Raw genomic sequence first — 18,772 nt, 5'->3', positions numbered from 1 at the left:
CTTGCTCATGTGATTGAAAACTTTTACAAGCCCACTTCTGTCCTTTGCAGTTGAGCCCTCACCTTGCTGTCCAGATGACCTCCTTCCAGAATGGCCTCCAGGACCTGCCAAGGCTCTGGACCTCCTGTCTGACTCCCAGAAGTTCCTCTACTTCAGAGGACTCATGTTGGATTTCTTTCAACATTCATTCTCTGAGTATTTTCAGATTTGTACTTGAATTTGAGTAGAGACTATCAGCTGTCCCCTTCTTCCTCTGTGCCCTTTGGGCATGGCACATGGTTCACCAGGATACAAGATGACATTTCCTTGCTTCCCTTGCAGCTAGGCACAGCTGGTATGTCTGTTCTGTCATGGGACATGACACAGAGCTTCTGGGTCAAGAGCTTCTGGGTCCTGCACTTAAAAGAAGGCAGCAGGCTCCTGGCTTACCCTTTGTCCCTCTCCCTGGCTGGAGTTCATGGTGGTGATGAGCTATCTTGGATTGCACTGACTGTAGCAACATTTTGGGGTGATGGAGCCACAAGCTGGCAGGAGTCTGGGTACCTGCCACCTTTGCAGAGTGGAAGCTGCTACAAGAACTCAAACACACAAACAAGAGAGAAATCTGCTCTATCTTGATGAACCAGGGATTTGGGGGCTGCTGTCACAGAAGCTGATCCCTTTATCCTACTCAATCTACACCCACCATGGTTACAGGGGTGACCACTGTGGTTTTAAGATGGTCGCTTGCCCTTGTCTGCTCCACGGGAGGAAGGCGAGGCATGCAGAGCCTCAGCCCAGGCAGCCGGTGAAGTATTAAGGTGATTTGCTTTCATCCTACACTTAAGCTGCAGTGCTTCCTTCTAAGGTGGGGAAATTAAAGACATGATGAATGAGGCGTCTTTGCCATTTAGCCGGCCTAGTTTACACACCCCTGGTGAGAAAATACTGCATTGGAGATGGAACAAGCAGGGAATAATAAGGACCACTTATGAAGAATTAATGTGATGCTGAAAACAGAAAGAAAAAAAACTTATTAGGTTACCCAGGAAAGGCATGGAGAACAGCCTTACGGAACAACCTGTCATGATGTCTTTGAGAAAAGAAGTAAGAGGTCTGAAGGGCCAATTTAAAGTTATTAAGATAATCTCTCTATGTTAAGAGACTGTCTCTTTTCGTACCGCTTTTAAAAAATAGGTGTTGCTACGTTTTCTCCTGAACCACAACCTCAAATATTTTGCCAACTTAAGAGGCTTGGGTGTCATTTCAGAATGCTTGGCGCCAAGCCACATGGGCTTGTGCAAAGTGACAGAGGAGAGAGAGATGCGGTTTCCAGTTTTGCGGAGGCTGTAGTTTGGGGTAGATGGTGGTGGGAAGGTAGACGCGCATTGGATCCTTATTTGGGGTTATTGGGATAGTCTAACTGGTTGACGGTATCTTCCTGGATCACTCCCCCCAACACCCCACCCATCTCTTCTCTGCCCCACTGCCCTCCCTCGCTCTCCATCCTCCCATTGGCTGGGCTTGCAAGTACTAGCACACCATCTTGAATCATATCAACAAGGGCAGCCTCTAGTGCCAGGAGAAAAGAGACTGGGCTTCTGATGGCATTGCAGAGCAGAGGCACCAAACCACTTTGGATCTCTATGGAACAGAAAAAATTACGTTTTTGAAATTCATACCACTTTAAACAAAGTCTCTTTTGCAAGCAATTGGCCCATATCCTAAGTCATACACTTCTTTATGTGGGTTCCTTAACACTGCACACCTCTTCTTTATAGCATTTGCCATAGTTGCAACTGAATACTTTTTGGCATGCATCTTTTCTAACCAACAATGACGTCCACACGGTCATCGTCCAGACCTAATGAACCCTAATATGCCCACTGCTTAGAAGGCACTTAATAATTATTTGACTGATGAATATAAATACAGAAGTTCAGGTGCTTCCTCTAAGACCTTCCAATCAGGCTGCTGTAGTCAGAGGTCCCTAACTGGGAGGGTTTAACAGGCATGCAGAAGGCAGCGTGTGAAGACTCTTCCGTTTTCAAGCTTTTAGGGGAACAGCCTGAGCTTTCCTGCTCCCTGCAAGTCTCTGATTTCTGAGAGGCAGCCTGGCATGAAAAAATAAAGATGAAGAAGCTCTATATTTCCTTATGATTAGCAAATTTCAAGCTTGGGCAAAGCCATGAAGTTCTTGCCAACTGGAATGACATCTTAACAAAATGTCTATATGTCCAGCAGTGCCTAGTACAACATTGACATAAAAACTTTGCTTCATAAATCCCTCACTGCATGAAGAATAAATCCTCCCCCTGCCTTTATCACAGCTGTTGAGAGGAGGAGAGCTGGCAGGGAGGTCTGGGGGAAGGAAAGAAGCCATGGGGCATGACAGTAGCTTTGGTTTTTGCTTGCATTTCCCTTCCAAAACCTTGCGGCTCCATCATTGACTCCTAGGGCGCCCTTCTTTCAGCACATAGAGACTGTCTGAGCCTCTTCCTTTATCTGTACGGTGGGACAACAGGCTCTAATTCAATATATCATGACAAGCATCATTCATTTATCTAGTCATTCAGCATTCATACTCTCAACACGAGGGCTCTCTGATCCCATTTCTTCATCTGTAAACTAGAGACAAGATAACTCAACATATTGTTACAAAGATCTTTCACTCAGCAATACATGTATTCATGCAGCAAATATTTCCATCCCTTCCCTGTGCCAGGAACTGAGTTAAGCCCTAAACACACAGACGTGAGGGCGATAGGCACTTCCCTGCCATGGTGAAATCTGCATTCTCATGGAGAGACAGATGGCAAACAAAGAAACAAGGTGATTCCATACAGGTGAGTTCTAGAAATAAGATGAAGCAGGTGATCACCATGGTGGTCACAGATAGCCTCTTGGAGAATATTTAAGCTAAGATGTAGAAATTAGAATAATCTGGTCATGCAAAGAGTCCAATCAGAGGGAATGGCAGATCCAAGAGCCCTGGGGTAGAAACACGCTTAGCTCATCAGGGTCAGGTCTCCTGGAAGGCCACTGTGGGAGATGAGTTGCAAGTGATGGGAGAAGCATGGGGTAAGGTCCAGAGTGGGCAGGGGCCAGATCACTCAGGATCTTGCAGGCCACAACCAAGCTTGGGGATTTATCAGAAAGAAATGCAAAGATTGAGCCAACAGGAAGTTCCCTGATCTGACTGAGACAGAATCTCCCTCTGTTGCCCAGGCTGGAGTGCAATGGCACCATCAGGGCTTACTGCAGCTTCTGTCGCCTGGGCTGAAGTGATTCTCCTGCCTCAGCCTCTCCACTAGCTGGGACTACAGGCATGTGCCACCATGCCTGGCTAACTTTTGTATTTTTGTAGAGACAGGGTCTCACTATGTTGCCCAGACTGCTCTCAAACTCCTGGGCTCAAGCGATCCACCTGCCTCAGCCTCCCAAAGTGCTGGGATTATAGGCATGAGCCACCATGCCCAGCCTGATTTATGTTTTAAAGAGAACACTTTGGTCATTTTGAAAAGAAAGATGGTGCTGGCATTGGTGGAAAGAGTGGAACTAGAGAGCCCAGGTTAAGTGAGAATTTAGAGAAGACACAAGGTACAGCCTGCACATGGTCCCTGTTCATACATAGTAGCTGTCCCTGCAGCAGATCCAAGGGGGATGCACCAGTGACTCAGTGGATCCCAGGCTCACAAATACCATGCTAGAGCTTCCCAGGAGTCACGGGGCTGGCTCTGGCACAAAATCCTAAAAATCCATAGCACGATTTCCACGGTGAGTGGTAATCTCAGGCCACTCAATAGCCAAGTCATTTCTGAGTACATAAAATATGAGTCTCAAAGGATCAAACAGCTTATGAGGAACGTGTGGGTAAAGATGGTGGTGGTGTGAATGGGTGCCGTCTCTGTGCAGGGTAACATGCTAATATGCAATGTGTAAATGCCCACACCATTTTACTCAGCTAGTCCACTGCTGGAGTTTATTTCACGAATATGATCACAGAAGTACAAAACAGTCTTTGCATAAGGTTATTCAAAGCAGTACTTCCAGGCAAAAAAAACCCCAAAAAACCTGAGAATAACCTAAATGTCAGTTCATATGGGGGTTGGTTTATATAATTTACACTATATGCCATAATATACAGATGTTTGGAAAAAAAGAATAAAGAACTTTATGTACTAACATGGAAAAAATACAAGATATATTGTTAGATAAAAAAAATTGTTTGAAGTTGCAGTGGGAGAGGAAATGTGTGTGTGTGTGTGTCTGTGTGTGTGTTTGTGTGTGTATGTGTTTGTGTGTGTGTCTGTGTGTGTCTGTGTGTGTGTTTGTGTGTGTGTGTGTGTGTTTGCATATGCATGAAATATTTTCGGAAAGGTATGTGTTAAACTGCAAATGTTGATCACCTCTGGGGGCTTGCACTGGGTGGCTGGAGGCAGAAGTAGATATTTGTATATAAGTCTGTATACTTTTTGAGTTTGGAACTATGTAAATGTATTACATTTTACCCCCAAATAAATCAAGATTATAAAAATAACAAAAGTAGGAACAAGGGGGAATATACCTTAGGAAAGTGACAAATTGCAACAAGCCTAGGACCTTTAGTGTTGGCTTATAAATAGTCAAAGCAAAGAATAGTCAATCACCAGGTGCCCTCTGACTGGGCACTGCCCTCTCTTTTACCTACAGGTTGCCCTGAGGGTGGGAGTAAAGGCCAGAGCCAACCAGCCACTGAAAGGAAGAGGGAGGTGGACAGGATAGAGCTTCCAGTGGGAATTTGGAGTGGATCAAAGTCAGCAGGGCAGTATAGCTCAGTGGTTGGCATGTGCCACTGTATTAGTCTATTCTCATGCTGCTAGTAAAGACATACCCGAGACTTATGATTTATGAAGGACAGAGGTTTAATTGACTCTCAGTTCAGCATGGTTGGGGAGGCCTCATGATCATGGTGGAAGGCAAAGGAGGAGCAAAGTCACATCTTACATGGTGGCAGGTAAGACAGCATGTGCAGGGGAACTGCCATTTATACAACAATCAGATCTCATGAGACTTATTCACTATCATGAGAACAGCATGGGAAAAGCCCAGCCCCATGATTCAATTCCCTCCCACCGGGTCCCTCCCATGACATGTGGGGATTATGGGAGCTACAATTCAAGGTGAGATTTGGGTGGGGACACAGCCAAATCACATCAGCCACCAAGGGAAAATAGTGCTGTGTCTCTGCCACAATTATAATGCAAGATATTCTGTACCACTGTGTAAAAAATGTCAGGAAGAACTTAAGGAGGCCTTGTTCCATAGAAAACACAACTAACACTCCAGGTGGGCACCCCTCATATACTAACCCACTTAATCCTCACAAGCACTCCTCAGCAAAGGTACTATTATTACTTATCATCTCATTTTCATGTAAGAGCCAAGGAGACTGACTAATGTGCGCGAAACCGCGCGACTTCCACGCAGAAGAGCCAAGATGTGAATCCAAGTTGCCGGGCTGGCTCAAGAGGCCACGTTGTTATTTGTGGCGCCATATTGCTTTGTGGAGTACTTGAAATTTGGGCACGATGTCAGCAAACACTTGACCTCTGATGTAGAAAAAAGATCCATTAAATTAAAAATAAAAAGGCAACTGCTCATTTCTACTGCAGTTTGCCACTGTCTTGTGAAGATCAGCCAGATATGAGAAGGAGCCTCAATAACAAGAGTCTGTGAAATCTGAAGGGTTTTCCAAAGTGGATGAACTTTGCATAGCATGGTGGCTCAGTGGTGGCTGAGAAGACTGTGAATATGTTCTCTGAGACACACAGAGCCTTGGGGATATTAGAAATCTAGTCCCAAAATCCTGCTCTAGTGTCCAGTTTGCTGTCTGAGGACCAGTAACAGAGGCATGGTTTCAGGGGGAGGACCTCACCTGTGCCTCTTGGTAAGGCAGGGTCTCTAAGGCGAGACATTAGTTCTGAAATGCACCTGCTTTATGTCAGAGGCCAGAGTATCAGCTTCCCAGCCTTCCCCTAAAACTAATTACTGGTCTGGCAAGAGCTTGAGAGACTTGTTAACTTGATACAATAAATCATTTCAGGACAGATGCTGAGAGATATATTTGCTTCATACATTTTCAGTTTTGACTGGGGACCACATGTCAGACTATGATGGGAATGAAGAAAGCAGAAACTCCTCATTCTGGCCATGAAATACCTTAAATGAGGCTTGGGTGCCAAAAGAAATAAGCTTCCAGAGGTAATGCTGGGCTGGGAAGTGGGAAGGGTCCCTTGGTGTAAGATGACAAACCCGTCAATATCTCTTTAATTAGGAATCTCTTCCTTGTTGGGGGAGAAGAAGGGGCATTTAGAACCATAAAGAAGAGGACTAAAATATTGACACTGATCTTTAGTAGCTGTTGGGCTTGGCAAGTAGTTGAACTCAGAGGAGTTCCCCTGTTTTTCACTTTCATGTTGCTATGCTACAAATCACCCCAAAACGTAGTGGTATAAAACAAAAGCAATCATTTTATTGTTTTTCATTGTTTCTGTGAATCAAGAGTCCTGGAAGGGCTTAGCTGGGTGTCTTTGGCTTGGGTCTCTCATGCAGTTGCTGTCAGATAGTGGCAGGAGCAGTCAGGGGCAGCTGGACACCATGCTCTATTCACAAGGCTCGGGGGTCCTCCTTTTGGCCTTTCCACATGGGATAGTTGGGCTTCCTCACAGCATGGTGGCTTTGGACAATAGGGCTCCCTCCATGTTGGTGCAGGGCGCTTTTATGATTTAGCTTTGAAAGTTACATAGCATCACTTCTGCTCAGCACTATGAGTCAACCAGTCACTACAGCCCACCCAGTTTCAAGGGGAGAAGACAAAGTTGCCACCTGTTCATGGGAGAGTAGAGAGGTTCCAGAAGAGCCTGTGGGTTGGGGACATGGAGAGTATGTTCCTTGGAATATTTCTGAAAAAAGTACAACCTATAACACAGAGTGTCATAATTTGAAAATGGATCATATTAATACTCACTGTATAGTGGAAATGGGTGATGGTGTGGACAAACTGTCCAACACTGTGCAGGTTCTCATGGGCGCCATGTCCTACACATCAGCTTTCACTGCCCAGCATCTATTCCTCCTCTATAGACACATCCTGACTTCCTTTGGGAAAATTCATTTCCTCCATGGTAGGTAGTCTTGATGGGATGATAAACTGTGGGGCTTGCATTTTGAAACAGAATCAAGCAATGGAGAAGCCCCTTCACCATTTCAAACATCAAATCGAGGCTTGGGATGCCAGATCTGGCCCTTCGGTCTCCAGTAAAATCTTCCTTCAGGCTCTTTCACAGCCTCTCCTCAACTGTTCCTCTCCCCTACTCTCCACCCACCACCCCAATGCCTCCAGCAAATTCTCTTGGAAGAGTTTAGTGTCTACAAATGACAGACAACTTGGGCCAGGCACAGTGGCTCAGGCCTGTAACCTCAGCACTTTGGGAGGCCGAGGTGGGAGGATCACTGAGCCCAAGAGTTTGAGGCCAACCTGGGCAACACAATGAGACCCTTTTTCCACACACAAAAAAACAAAAACTAGCTGGGTGTGGTGGTGCATACATGCAGTCCCAGTCACTCAAGAGACTGATATGGGAGGATCACCTGAACCCAGGAGGTCGAGGCTGCAGTGAGCCATGACCGTGCCACTGCATTCCAGCCTAAGTGACAGAATGAGATCTTGTATCAAAGAAAAAAAAAAAAAAAAGTTAGGCAACAACAATAACCTCAATGATCTTGGGCTTTAACAGTCAACGTTTGCCACAAACCCCTATGGAGTCCAGGAAGCCAAAGGCCTGAAGCCTACTGAAGGTGAAAAGGAGGGACAATTTTATGGAGACCCACACAACTTGTGTATCAATAAATTATCCTGCTGCAGATGCTCACAGAAGCCTGCTATAAGTTTTGCGTGTGTGGAGTGGGAGACGTTTTTAACTTGTTTTAGGAGGGGACCCAAAATGTAAGTTTATGCCATTGGTTGGGAGATTTTAATTTGTGGTAGTTTGCAATCTTCAAATATCTCTTACAGAAGGCAGTTGGTCTGAGCAATTTCCTTTAGGGAAAAGCAGATTATTTTAGCACTTCATTCCTCTAAGCACTGTTGAAAACTGTTTAAGCAGCTATGAGCACGTTCCTGTTCCAGAATTCTCCAAAACAAATAGCCAAGCACAGTTATGTATATAAGGTATGCAACTGAGACTGCTTAAAGGAATACTAATGGGCATTTTATTCACCATTTTCAACGATTTTGGGTTTTGTTTTGTTTTTTGTTTTTTTGGAAAGAGCCTTCTCGTTTTATTACCTGCCTGATTTACTTTTCTCCCCTGCAGCAGAGAGTCCCTGAAGCACGATGCTGGCTCTTGAATTAAGGAGCTTGGGGATGCAGCAGCTGCTTCTGTTCCAGGGAGGGGGAAGAACAGGAGAGGCATCACTCACTGTTCTATGGAAGTGTGTGGATCCCAGTCTCCTCCAAGAACGGATGGGGAACACTGGCCCAGAGACCACCCCATCAAACTAGAAGCTGGGTCACAAGAGGAGCAGGGAGAGAGAACTCCACGCCAGGCACCAGGATCCCAATTAGGGCTGACACTTACAGCCATAAGAACCGGAGCTCAGATGCGTGTTTATAGCATCTGCTGGAAATACAGGAGCGTCTGTGCGATGTGCTCTGTTTAGGAGGGCTCGTGTGGTGAAAATGAGGGGCAGCTGAGTCTTTGAAACAGCTGGCCTTCTTTCTAAGTCCCTCCAAAAGAGGCACAGTCGAGTTCCCAGACAGCTGTTTTGCTGCAAACTCTGTACCTGGACAATACAGGCAATCAACCTCCTAAAGAAAACAGGCATTATTTTGACTCAAACAGGCCACTTTTGCACATGATTTACTTCCTGATGAACAATTTTTCCTGAACAATATACGTTTTGTTTGATTTGCACAGGGATTTTAAACATCCAAGCAAATGTTAAAAAATTGAAAGATTTCTGGATTTTCAGCAGGTCTAGAAAAATCCAGAGATCTGGCAACTGACAGCCGGCATTCCCACCTGGGAAGGCTCTAGAGCCTAAAGAATGGATGTGTCCTCTGAGAGGGTGCAGCCGGCCACCCTCCCCGCCTCTCACAGCCTGCAGGGCATGGTCATTCCACCCGCTTCCTTACCCACCTCCTCCTTTCACCTGTCCCTTGCATTTGCGACTCCTGGTTAAATGGCTCAGAATTTCACATGGATGCCTCTGAGTCCAGCTAGCTTTGCAGCCTCTCAGCATTCAGTCCTACAATTACAAGTGTCAGTGACAGCCCCTCTAGGGGACTGATGAAGTATCCCAGGAAAGGTTTCCAAAAGGCAACGTGCATCCCTTGAGTAAGGTTGAATCACGTGGACAGAAAGTGTTTCCTTTTTAGATTCTTTTAGAAGTTTTGAGGTTAAAGTGAAAGTCTCCCACATGGCCCGTAACCAGTCCTGGGCACAGACACCCCCGGAGCTGCAACAAGGAGGGACTGGAGGAGTAAAAGGGGCACCACGCGGGGTCCCTCCCTCTCCTCCCGCAGGCCATTCCTGGCTCCCTGCCTCTTCCCTGGCCCCTTCACTCATCTGGTGCCAGCTTTTGACTTTGTTCCCCAATTTCTATGTTGGGTGTGAAGGCCAGGAGAGGGGTGACAAAATAAAGTTAGGAAGGGCAGAAACTCGGACTAGAAATCCCTCACAGCAGCTCCCTGTGCTCCATGATTCAGAATGGGGGGAAAAGGCAGTGCCATATTGTCGTGGAAATGTCTGCCACTGGTTTATTTATACTAAAACGCTGAGAACAAACAACCCAGGTGCCCCGCGATAGGGGGCTTTCTAAATAAATTCAGGTCCATCCACTTAATCAGTTATTTAAAAAGCTAAGTATGGGACAAGCAAAGTACTTTGGCAACGTTAAGTTACAAAAGAGACGTAACATATTACAGACTGATCTCAATGGTATAAAAATACTTCGATATACTCTGTAAGGCAGGACGCAATAATGGTAATAGTTACATAAGATATGGAATATGGGTTTAAAAAACATATCTTTGAATATGTTTTTATGATTACAAAAGTAAAATAAAGGCATTAAAAAAATAAGCCTAATAAAAAGGTAAGGAGAAGAAAATCTCAGCTTGGTCTGCTTGCAAGCTTGTCCAACCTGTAGCCCACAGGCTGCGTGTGTGGCCCAGGACAGCTTTGAATGTGGCCCAACACAAATTTGTAAACTTTCTTACAACATTATGAGATTGTTTTGCAATTTCTTTTTCCAGCTCATCAGCTATCGCTAGTGTTAGCATATATTATGTGTGGCCCAAAGACAATTCTTCCAATGTGGCCCAGAGAAGCCAAAAGACTGGACACCCTTGCACTCTCGTGTGTCCACAGCACTTCCCTGCACCTGCTAACCCCTTTCTCTAACCTCCAAGGCAAGCACACAGCCTCTTGCTATTAACATTAGCTAGCTAGACTTCAATAGGATTTTTATGCTTTTTTTTTGTTTGTTTGTTTTTGAGACAGAGTCTCACTCTGTTGCCCAAGCTAGAGTGTACTGGTGTGATCTTGGCTCACTGCAACCTCCGCCTCCTGGGTTCAAGCCATTCTCCTGCCTTAGCCTCCTGAGTAGCTGGGATTACAGGCACGCACCACCATGAACAGCTTAATTTTTGTATTTTTAGTAGAGGCAGGGTTGGCCTGCTGGTCTCAAATTCCTTGAACTCCTGACCTCAGGTGATCCACCAGCCTCGGCTTCCCAAAATGCTGGGGTTACAGGCGTGAGCCATCGCACCTGGCCAGGATTTTTATGTTTTAATTGTATTTGTTTATGCTCACCTTTATTTTGTGCAACTGATAGGCATTTTCTCCATTTATTTGTGTACATTAAAGTTATTTTTTAAATAAAACATTTTTATGATTTGCCTAAATATTCATTTGGATGCTTACTTCCCGTGAGTGTCTTTATTCTTTTCTATATTTGCCCAATGGTATGATACCTCAGTTCATGAGACCGTTAGAAAGATTTACTGAAATAATGTACACAGAGCATTTTGTAAAGTGCCAGAGACAGTGAAATACACACAGTATTATTCTGTGTGCTGTCAAGCACTATAAAATCTACAGAATATTATGGTTTTCTATGTAAGTTTCTATTTTTAAGATACTATATTTGCTTCTGGAAGAGATGTTAACAGTAGCGTTTTAATAAGAATGCCTAATGAGAAACTTGAGACACATAAGTGAACCGGTTGAAGTGAAGGTGTTCAGCACCTAACAGCACAGGTGCATGTGGGCCAGTGGGAAGTGGAGCGGCAGGCAGGTGTGCCTACACCGACCCCGCTGGGGAGCCCGCCTCATCAACAGCCTTAGGGGGTTGCATTCCCAACACGGAGTCCCCCCTGAACTTCAGAGTATGCCCACAGTTTAAAGAAACACCTAAGTTTTAGCATTTTCCCTGAAGGAATGAGCTTAAAGTAAGGCTCCAGGAATGCTTGAGGCAGAAACCTTTATCAGATCAAGGTGCAACGTTCGAATCAAAAGCAGCCAGGGTCCGCTCTTCCCTCTTGCCAGTGCTGAGGTCAGACTCACTGCTCGCTTCACTGCTCCCCAGCTACTCAGACTCACCCGGACACCTGGTTTTGAAAAAAGATGCAGACCGAGGAAAGGAGATGAAGGGGGAGGCGGAAGATGCTTCCTAAGGAACAGGAGGATGCCAAAAGAACCGCAAGATGTGTTCCTGCCTTTCAGCACGCTCTCTATGTGCTTTTCTGCCTCTTCCCTGCAGACACAGAAGCATTTGCTTCATGCTCGATCCTCTCTGTCACAGGGCACTGACGGGGAAGGACCTGGGCAGCATGCTAATTGCTCTGTTGGCCTCGCACCCTGTAAATACGACGTGCACTCTGGTAAATTGTTGGCTGACTTTGCCTGACTGCCGAGATGCTCAGACCTCTCCCAGGGTGATGGGGAGCCTGGAAACCAAATGCCACGCGGTCTGGTGTGTGTATGGAGCAGGTGCTAGCTGTCTTCCTGGGTCTGAGTGTTTATAGACAGATGGTTTCAGGACCATAACAACCCTGGTCTTTCAGAGGTTCTAGGTTACAGGGAGACGGCACTCCAGCAGAACAGCTGTTTTGCTTGACAGTTTTCCTAACAAATGCTCTCTCCCCGTCTAAGAGGACATTTCACCAGGGGAGGAAGCGGGAGGGGGGGGGCTCTTATGTTTCTGAGAGTCTCAGTTTGGGTTCATTAGAAGCCGATCATAAGACAAGGATTCATTTGCAAGTGACTGATTAAGGATGTTGTTTCCTTTCTCCCCACGCACCAGGAGAAACTGGAAAGGGAGAAGGGGAGAGGGAAATAGTTCACATTGCAGGAAGAAGCAAACAGAAGGTGTGCTTTCAATGACCCAGCCTGCAGCCTGACCCTGTGGGAAGCTCTGAGTCCAACCGTGTCCATGACAATTCAGAGTTGTCTGCAGTGGGGGAGATGGGGCTGAGCTTTCGTATTCCACACCTGTCCATCATCAGCAAAGAGGATCCCAGGAAGAAGCTCCCAGGCTCTTCTAAGAATCCGCACAAGTGCACAAAAGTGAGGGGCAGCCCCAGGTGGTGCAGTGACGGAAGCAGGTTCAGGATGACAGAGCCAACCCCATGATTACAGACTGAATTGTTCCCTCCAAAATTCATCTCACAAAGCCCTCTGCCCCAGTGTGACTATATTTGGAGAGCAGGCTTTTAAGATGGTAATTAAGGTTAAATAAAGTCCTAAGAGGGGGCTCTAATCCCACAGGACTGGTGTCCTTACGGGAAGATGAAGAAGCCAAGTTCAGTGGCTCACACCTGTAATCTCAGCACTTTGGGAGGCCGAGGTAGGTGGATCACTTGAGCTCAGGAGTTTGAACCCATCCTGGGCAACATGATGAAACCCTATCTCTACAAAAAATGCAAACATTAGCTGGGCTTGGTGGTGCATGCCTGTAGTCTCAGCTACTTGGCGGATCGCTTGAGAGGAGGATCGCTTGAGCCCAGGAAGTCAAGGCTACAGTGAGTCCTGTTTACACCACTGCACCCCAGGCTGGGTGACAGAGCGAGACCCTGTCTCGAAAAAAAAAAAAAGACAAGACACCAGGAGCTTCTCTCTCTCCATGCACAGAGGAAAGGCCCTCTGAGGACACAAGATGCCGAGAGGGTGGCGAACTGCAAGCCAGGAAGAGATCCCTCACCAGAAACCACCCTTGACAGCACCCTGACCTCGGACTTTCCAGAATTCAGATGGTGAGAAAATAAATTTCTGTGTTTTAAGCCAACCAGTCTGTGGAATTTTGTTCAGGCAGCCCTAGCTGGCTAACACACCTACCGAGGGATATAGAGCAGTGAAAGAGATTTAACGGGAACCAGGGTGGAGCAGTGTCTGCCAGCTGGGGTGATCCATTGGGTGTATTTCCTTTCAGGACAAGAATAAGCACAAGCGACAGCTTGTCCTCCGAGGCAGACCTCCCAGGTTTGAATTCCACCTCCAGCTCTTACTGAGTGGGTTTGAAAAATGCATCATGTCTCGGTTCCCCCCATGCAAATTGAGGTCATGGCTCACTGTGTCTACCTCGAATGCTTGAAGGAGGATTAGATGCTTAGGAGGATTATATGCAAAGCATTTGGAGAGCGCGAGGCACACAGCCAGCACTGCTTGTCTCACTTATGATTCTTCTTTCCTCACTCATTCAAGTGCCCCTGTTCATCCTATGCTGAGCACGACACGGTTCATCATTCGCCAGGTGTGAGTTCGTATTTGGGACAGTCTTTAAGTATCTCATCTTTGAACTTCCCCCGATAAGACTCCTGGCCGTAGATTGTCAGCATGGTAGCTGGCAAGTACCAGGCACTTGACACATAATTTGTTGAAGAAACGAACATGGGAAAGGGGATGTCTAAAGCTTCCCACAGATGGAAACTGTGCAAGAACATTTCAGCAATAGGGGATATTTTCCGAGCCAAGCAGCCCTTTGACGCGCCGGGGGGTGATGGTGGCTTTACTGAGTGCAGCACGCACTCCCTCCACTCACCCACCCCGTATGTCTGGGTGGTGAGGACTTCCTCACCCCATGGCCTGGCCTCGTGTCTCACGTTGGCCTGGGGGATGTTAATGGACAGGACACCAGTTTTGGTCTTAGGTGAGAGGATAATGAGCTGCTGTGAGAGGAGCACACCCAGAATAACTCTGCCCCTTCAGCCTGGGCCCAGGACCAAACACACATGGACAGACAGACACTCAGCTCAAGGCTTGGAGCTAAGCCCAGCCAGCTCACACCCCAAGGCAGTCTCCCGCCTGAGCTTCCCCTTAGCAGGTCCAGACTGCCCTTGACCTACAGCCCTGGGAGCATGAGAGCAAAGCTTGGACAGTTTCCCCTTGTTACCCAAGGGGGATTGGCTCATGGACCCTTTGCAGATGACAACATCCATGGATGCTTAAGTCCTTTAGATAAAATGATGTAGTAGTAGCATACAACCTATGCGCATCCTCCTGCATACTTTAAATCATCTCTAGATTATTTATCATACCTAGTATAATGTAAATGCTATGTAAATAGTTACTGTGATACCATATTATTTAGACAATAATGACAGGAAAACCAAAGTCTGTATATGTGCAATACAGACACAATCTTCCACTAAAAGAATCTGGAATCTGTGAACACAGAACTCATGGATATGGAGGGCAAACTGTAGTTGTAAATCACTGAGATTTGGGTGGTTTTTTTATGTGGCATGATTGTGACAAATTTGTCCACATCCTAGTGCCTAGAACCTATGAATATGTTACCTTATAAGTCAAAGGGACTTGGTAGATGTGATTAGGTTAAGGATCATGAGACGGAGAGATGATCCAAGTGGGCCCTACATGATCACGGGGTCCTTACATAGCTGACTGATACACTGGATTTTCATACTGCAACACCTTCACAAACCACGTAGCCAGTTCACAAGTGGAGAGGCCAGATACAAGACATAGGGTGGAATGGGGACTATGGCTAATTGGAGATTTTGTGTGTCCCAACAAATATCACTGAAATTTTATTTTTGCATGAAAAACACAGGTCAACCAAGTTCAATTCAGGGACGACCAGTTCATATGAGTTAAAGAATTGGAAGAGAGCAGTGAAAGTGGTGTAATGAGAATGGCACGTGGAGGCAGTCTCTCACACACCATATATTTTCAAGCAATTTTAGGGATTGGGGGGCCCTTGGTGCCCATTCATGGTCCTGTTTGAAACTTATTGACTAGAATGACTTTCAGAGCCCTTGAGGCATCAACAACAGGCGTGTTTAACCACTAGCTGCCTGCCGCTCTCAGAGCTCAGCTCCCCAGATCAGCTACCATCATCTCCTGATGTAGAAGGCTTCTATGTATGGGGATCAATAGGGGTGAGTGGTCATGGGGGATCAACAGGGGTGAGCGGTCATGTGGGCAAAGGGCCAGGGGGCATGCTCTGAAGCTGTGCTTGTTTACAAAGCCACCACTTTTAGTTAGACTTGGTGTGTGTGTTTGGTGTTTGTGCCTTTGAAGAAACAGCTACAGATGGGAATGGTTGGCAGGGGGTCGTAAAACCTTCCAGAACCACCTTTCTGGACCTGCCTGGGGAAGCCGCTGGTGTGACAGCCTCTCCATGGGCTGACCAGTTTCGCCCTTTTGAAACTATTTATGTCTCCCTAGGTTCCCTGTCTTACCAGCCAGGGGATGTGGCCAACACGGGGATGTGGCCAAGATCTGAAAACACAGTTGCAGCTTCCACATCTCAAATTGGTGACTCACCTAAATGCAAAAGCTCACAATGAGATATTTCTTTTTTTTTTTTTTTTTTGTGAGACAGAGTCTTGCTCTGTCGCCCAGGCTGGAGTATGGTGGTGCGATCTGAGCTCACTGCAAGCTCCGCCTCCCGGGTTCACACCATTCTCCTGCCTCAGCCTCCCGAGTAGCTGGGACTACAGCTGCCCGCCACCACGCCCGGCTAATTTTTTTTTTTTTTTGTATTTTTAGTAGAGATGGGGTTTCACAATGGGATATTTCAAGAGCCAAAGGCAAGGAACGAACCACTGTCTGCACCTGTGAGTGCCATCCAGCCAGTGCAGGCTCTCAGAGTCCTGCAGAGAGGCTCCTGCAAGCAGCCACAGTCATGGCCTTGGTGGGGCTCAGTGCCAATGAGGCTTCAGATACTTGACTGCGCAACCCTCACCTTGAAGCAAGAATACACACTCCTGGCTGGCACTGACTGCTTCTGCTGGACCCCGCCAGGAAGGGCGACACCATTGCCCGTGGCAGTGCTATACATAAGAAAGATCTTGCTATCAGACCTCCTCGGCTACCAAGAAAGCTCCATGGGAAGGAACGCCATTCCCCGCCCTGGGAATCTTGGAAGGTGCACTCGCTGGCCTGACCTCGGTACCCCAAGGTGTCCAAACCCAGCATTTCAAAGACTCAGGACTGAATGGACATGACAGAGGCCATGCTGTAAGAAGACAGAGGCAGGCCAATTTGTCTACATCCTAATCCTCAGAACCTGTGAATATGTTACCTTACAAGGCAAAGGGACTTTGCAGATGTGATTAAGTGAAGGTTTTGATATGGGTGATGATCTGGGATTACCCAGGTGGGTCCAACATGACCACAATGGCCCTTATAAGTGAAAGTGGGGCCAGGCATGGTGACTCCACCCAATGCACCACCCGCCCTCCTCTTTGAACACATTTCTGGGGTCTAACCATCTGCAGTGCCTCTTTCTGTGCCTCAGATGCCATTATTCTCTATTTCTGCAGATTCAGATCTTCCTCTTGTCCACAGTCTGCCAAAACATTCAGGATGGCTGACTGTGGAAACTCATGCACAATGCTTACCACTGAGACAGCAAACACAACTGGGGTCAAAGTGGGGTGCCTGGAAGCTCAGAACAAACAGGGTGGCCACAGGAGCCCTTCAGGACTCGACACTATGAGGCTCATCTCCCTCGCTCTGCTTCTCATTCAGGTTCCCATGTGAAGAACTATTCACATACATAACTTTGCCACCTGCTAATGAACACATTCGCTTTCATTTGCATAATCAACACTAATCTTACAGGTTAATTAGACTTCATGTGCATTCGATTCAGGAGATTTAATTTGGCCTCTGATCTCCTGCTTGGAACAAGGGACTCATAAACACATTTCTTTCTGGCCATGTTTTCACAAATCAAAGATTCAGACACCCAACCCTTGTCCCTGACCTCACCTCCGCCAGATGCACTAAAATCCTTCTTGGGGTAATGATGGTGACGGTTGGCATTTGAGTTTGTGAACTGTTTGGGACACCAGATTTTCTTTTTCTCATTACACATTAAAGGAAGGACAGAGGAGTGGGTTCTGTGGGCAAAAGAACAGCGTGGTTCTAAACCAAGCAGAGAATTTGAGGATTTTTCATGGTGACTTGCAGCTGTCACTTAAGAAAATGTGTCCAGTAATAGACTATTTCTTTCTTTAATACCAATCCCTTCAGAAAAATACACTGGCAGAATACAAGAGCCTTGAAAAATAATCTTACGTTTTGAATCCAAGAAGCCACCTTAAGGAAAAAGGGATGTGGACAAAGATTTATGTGGAAGGTGGTTTATTGCTGCATTATCTATAAGAATAAATCTTGGACATACAAGTGGCCACAAACTTATGAAAAAAATGTTCCATATTACTAATCATCAGAGAAATGTAAATCAAAACCACAATGAGATGCCATCTCACACCAGTCAGAACGATGATTATTGAAAAGTCAAAAAATAACAGACGCTGGAGACATTGCAGAGAAAAGGGAACACTTACACACTGTGTGTAGGAAAGTAAATTAGTTCGATCACAGTGGAAAGTAGTTTGGAGATTTCTCAAAGAACTCAGAACTACCATCCAACCCAGCAATCCCATTACTGGGTATATACCCAAAGGAAATAGACTGTTCTACCAAAAAGACACACGCACTCATGTGTTCATTGCAGCACTGTTCACAATAGCAAAGACACAGAATCAACACATCCACAGTGAACTGGATCAAGAAAATCTGGTATACATCCACCATAGACTACTACACAGCCATAAAAAAGAACAAAATCATACCCTTTGCAGCAACACAGATGCAGCTGGAGGCCATTATCCTAAGCAAATTAATGGAGGAACAGAAAACCAAATACTCCATGTTCTCACTTATAAGTGGGAGCTAAGCAGTGGGTACATGTGGTTATAAAGATGGGAACAACAGACACTGGGGACCCCTAGAGCCGGGGAGAGGGAGGGAATAAAGGGCTGAAAAACGACCTATTCGGTGCTCTGTTCACCACTTGGGTGATGGGATCATTCATGCCCCAAACCTCAGCCTCAGGCAACATATAAACGTAACAAACCTGCACATGTACCCCCTGAATCTAAAATAAAAGTTGAAATTTAGAAACAACTTGGAATCAACCTAAATGGTAAAATACAGGCATGGTTGGTTGTTTCTGTTACGTTAAATCCGTCTGATGAATATTATAAAGCTATTAAGAATGTTTTTGAGGAATATTTAATGTCAAGAGAAAATGTTTCCAATACAAGTGAAAATTGTAGTGTCCTTAAAATCTGTACGTATTTGATGATCCCAAATTTGTAAACTAAATATATTTAGCATACATTAGCCTTACACAGGTATAACACCCTGGAAGGAAATGAACCAACATGCTATCAGTGGGTTACCCTTGAGTAGGAAGGATATTGGCACAT

At 45.9% G+C, this 18,772-nt stretch overlaps 1 protein-coding gene across 3 annotated transcripts in view; it reads right to left on the bottom strand.

Moving 5' to 3' along the window:
• Positions 1-18,772, bottom strand: part of TMEM132C (transmembrane protein 132C) — a 440,742-nt gene that overhangs the window by 144,485 nt on the left and 277,485 nt on the right. The gene's annotated exons all lie outside the window — the stretch shown is intronic.

The sequence above is a fragment of the Homo sapiens genome, chromosome 12 (assembly GCF_000001405.40).
Source record: "Homo sapiens chromosome 12, GRCh38.p14 Primary Assembly".
Lineage (NCBI taxonomy): Eukaryota > Metazoa > Chordata > Mammalia > Primates > Hominidae > Homo > Homo sapiens.
The sequence above is the reverse complement of the archived record's forward strand: the minus strand, read 5'-3'. Positions and strand labels throughout refer to the sequence as shown.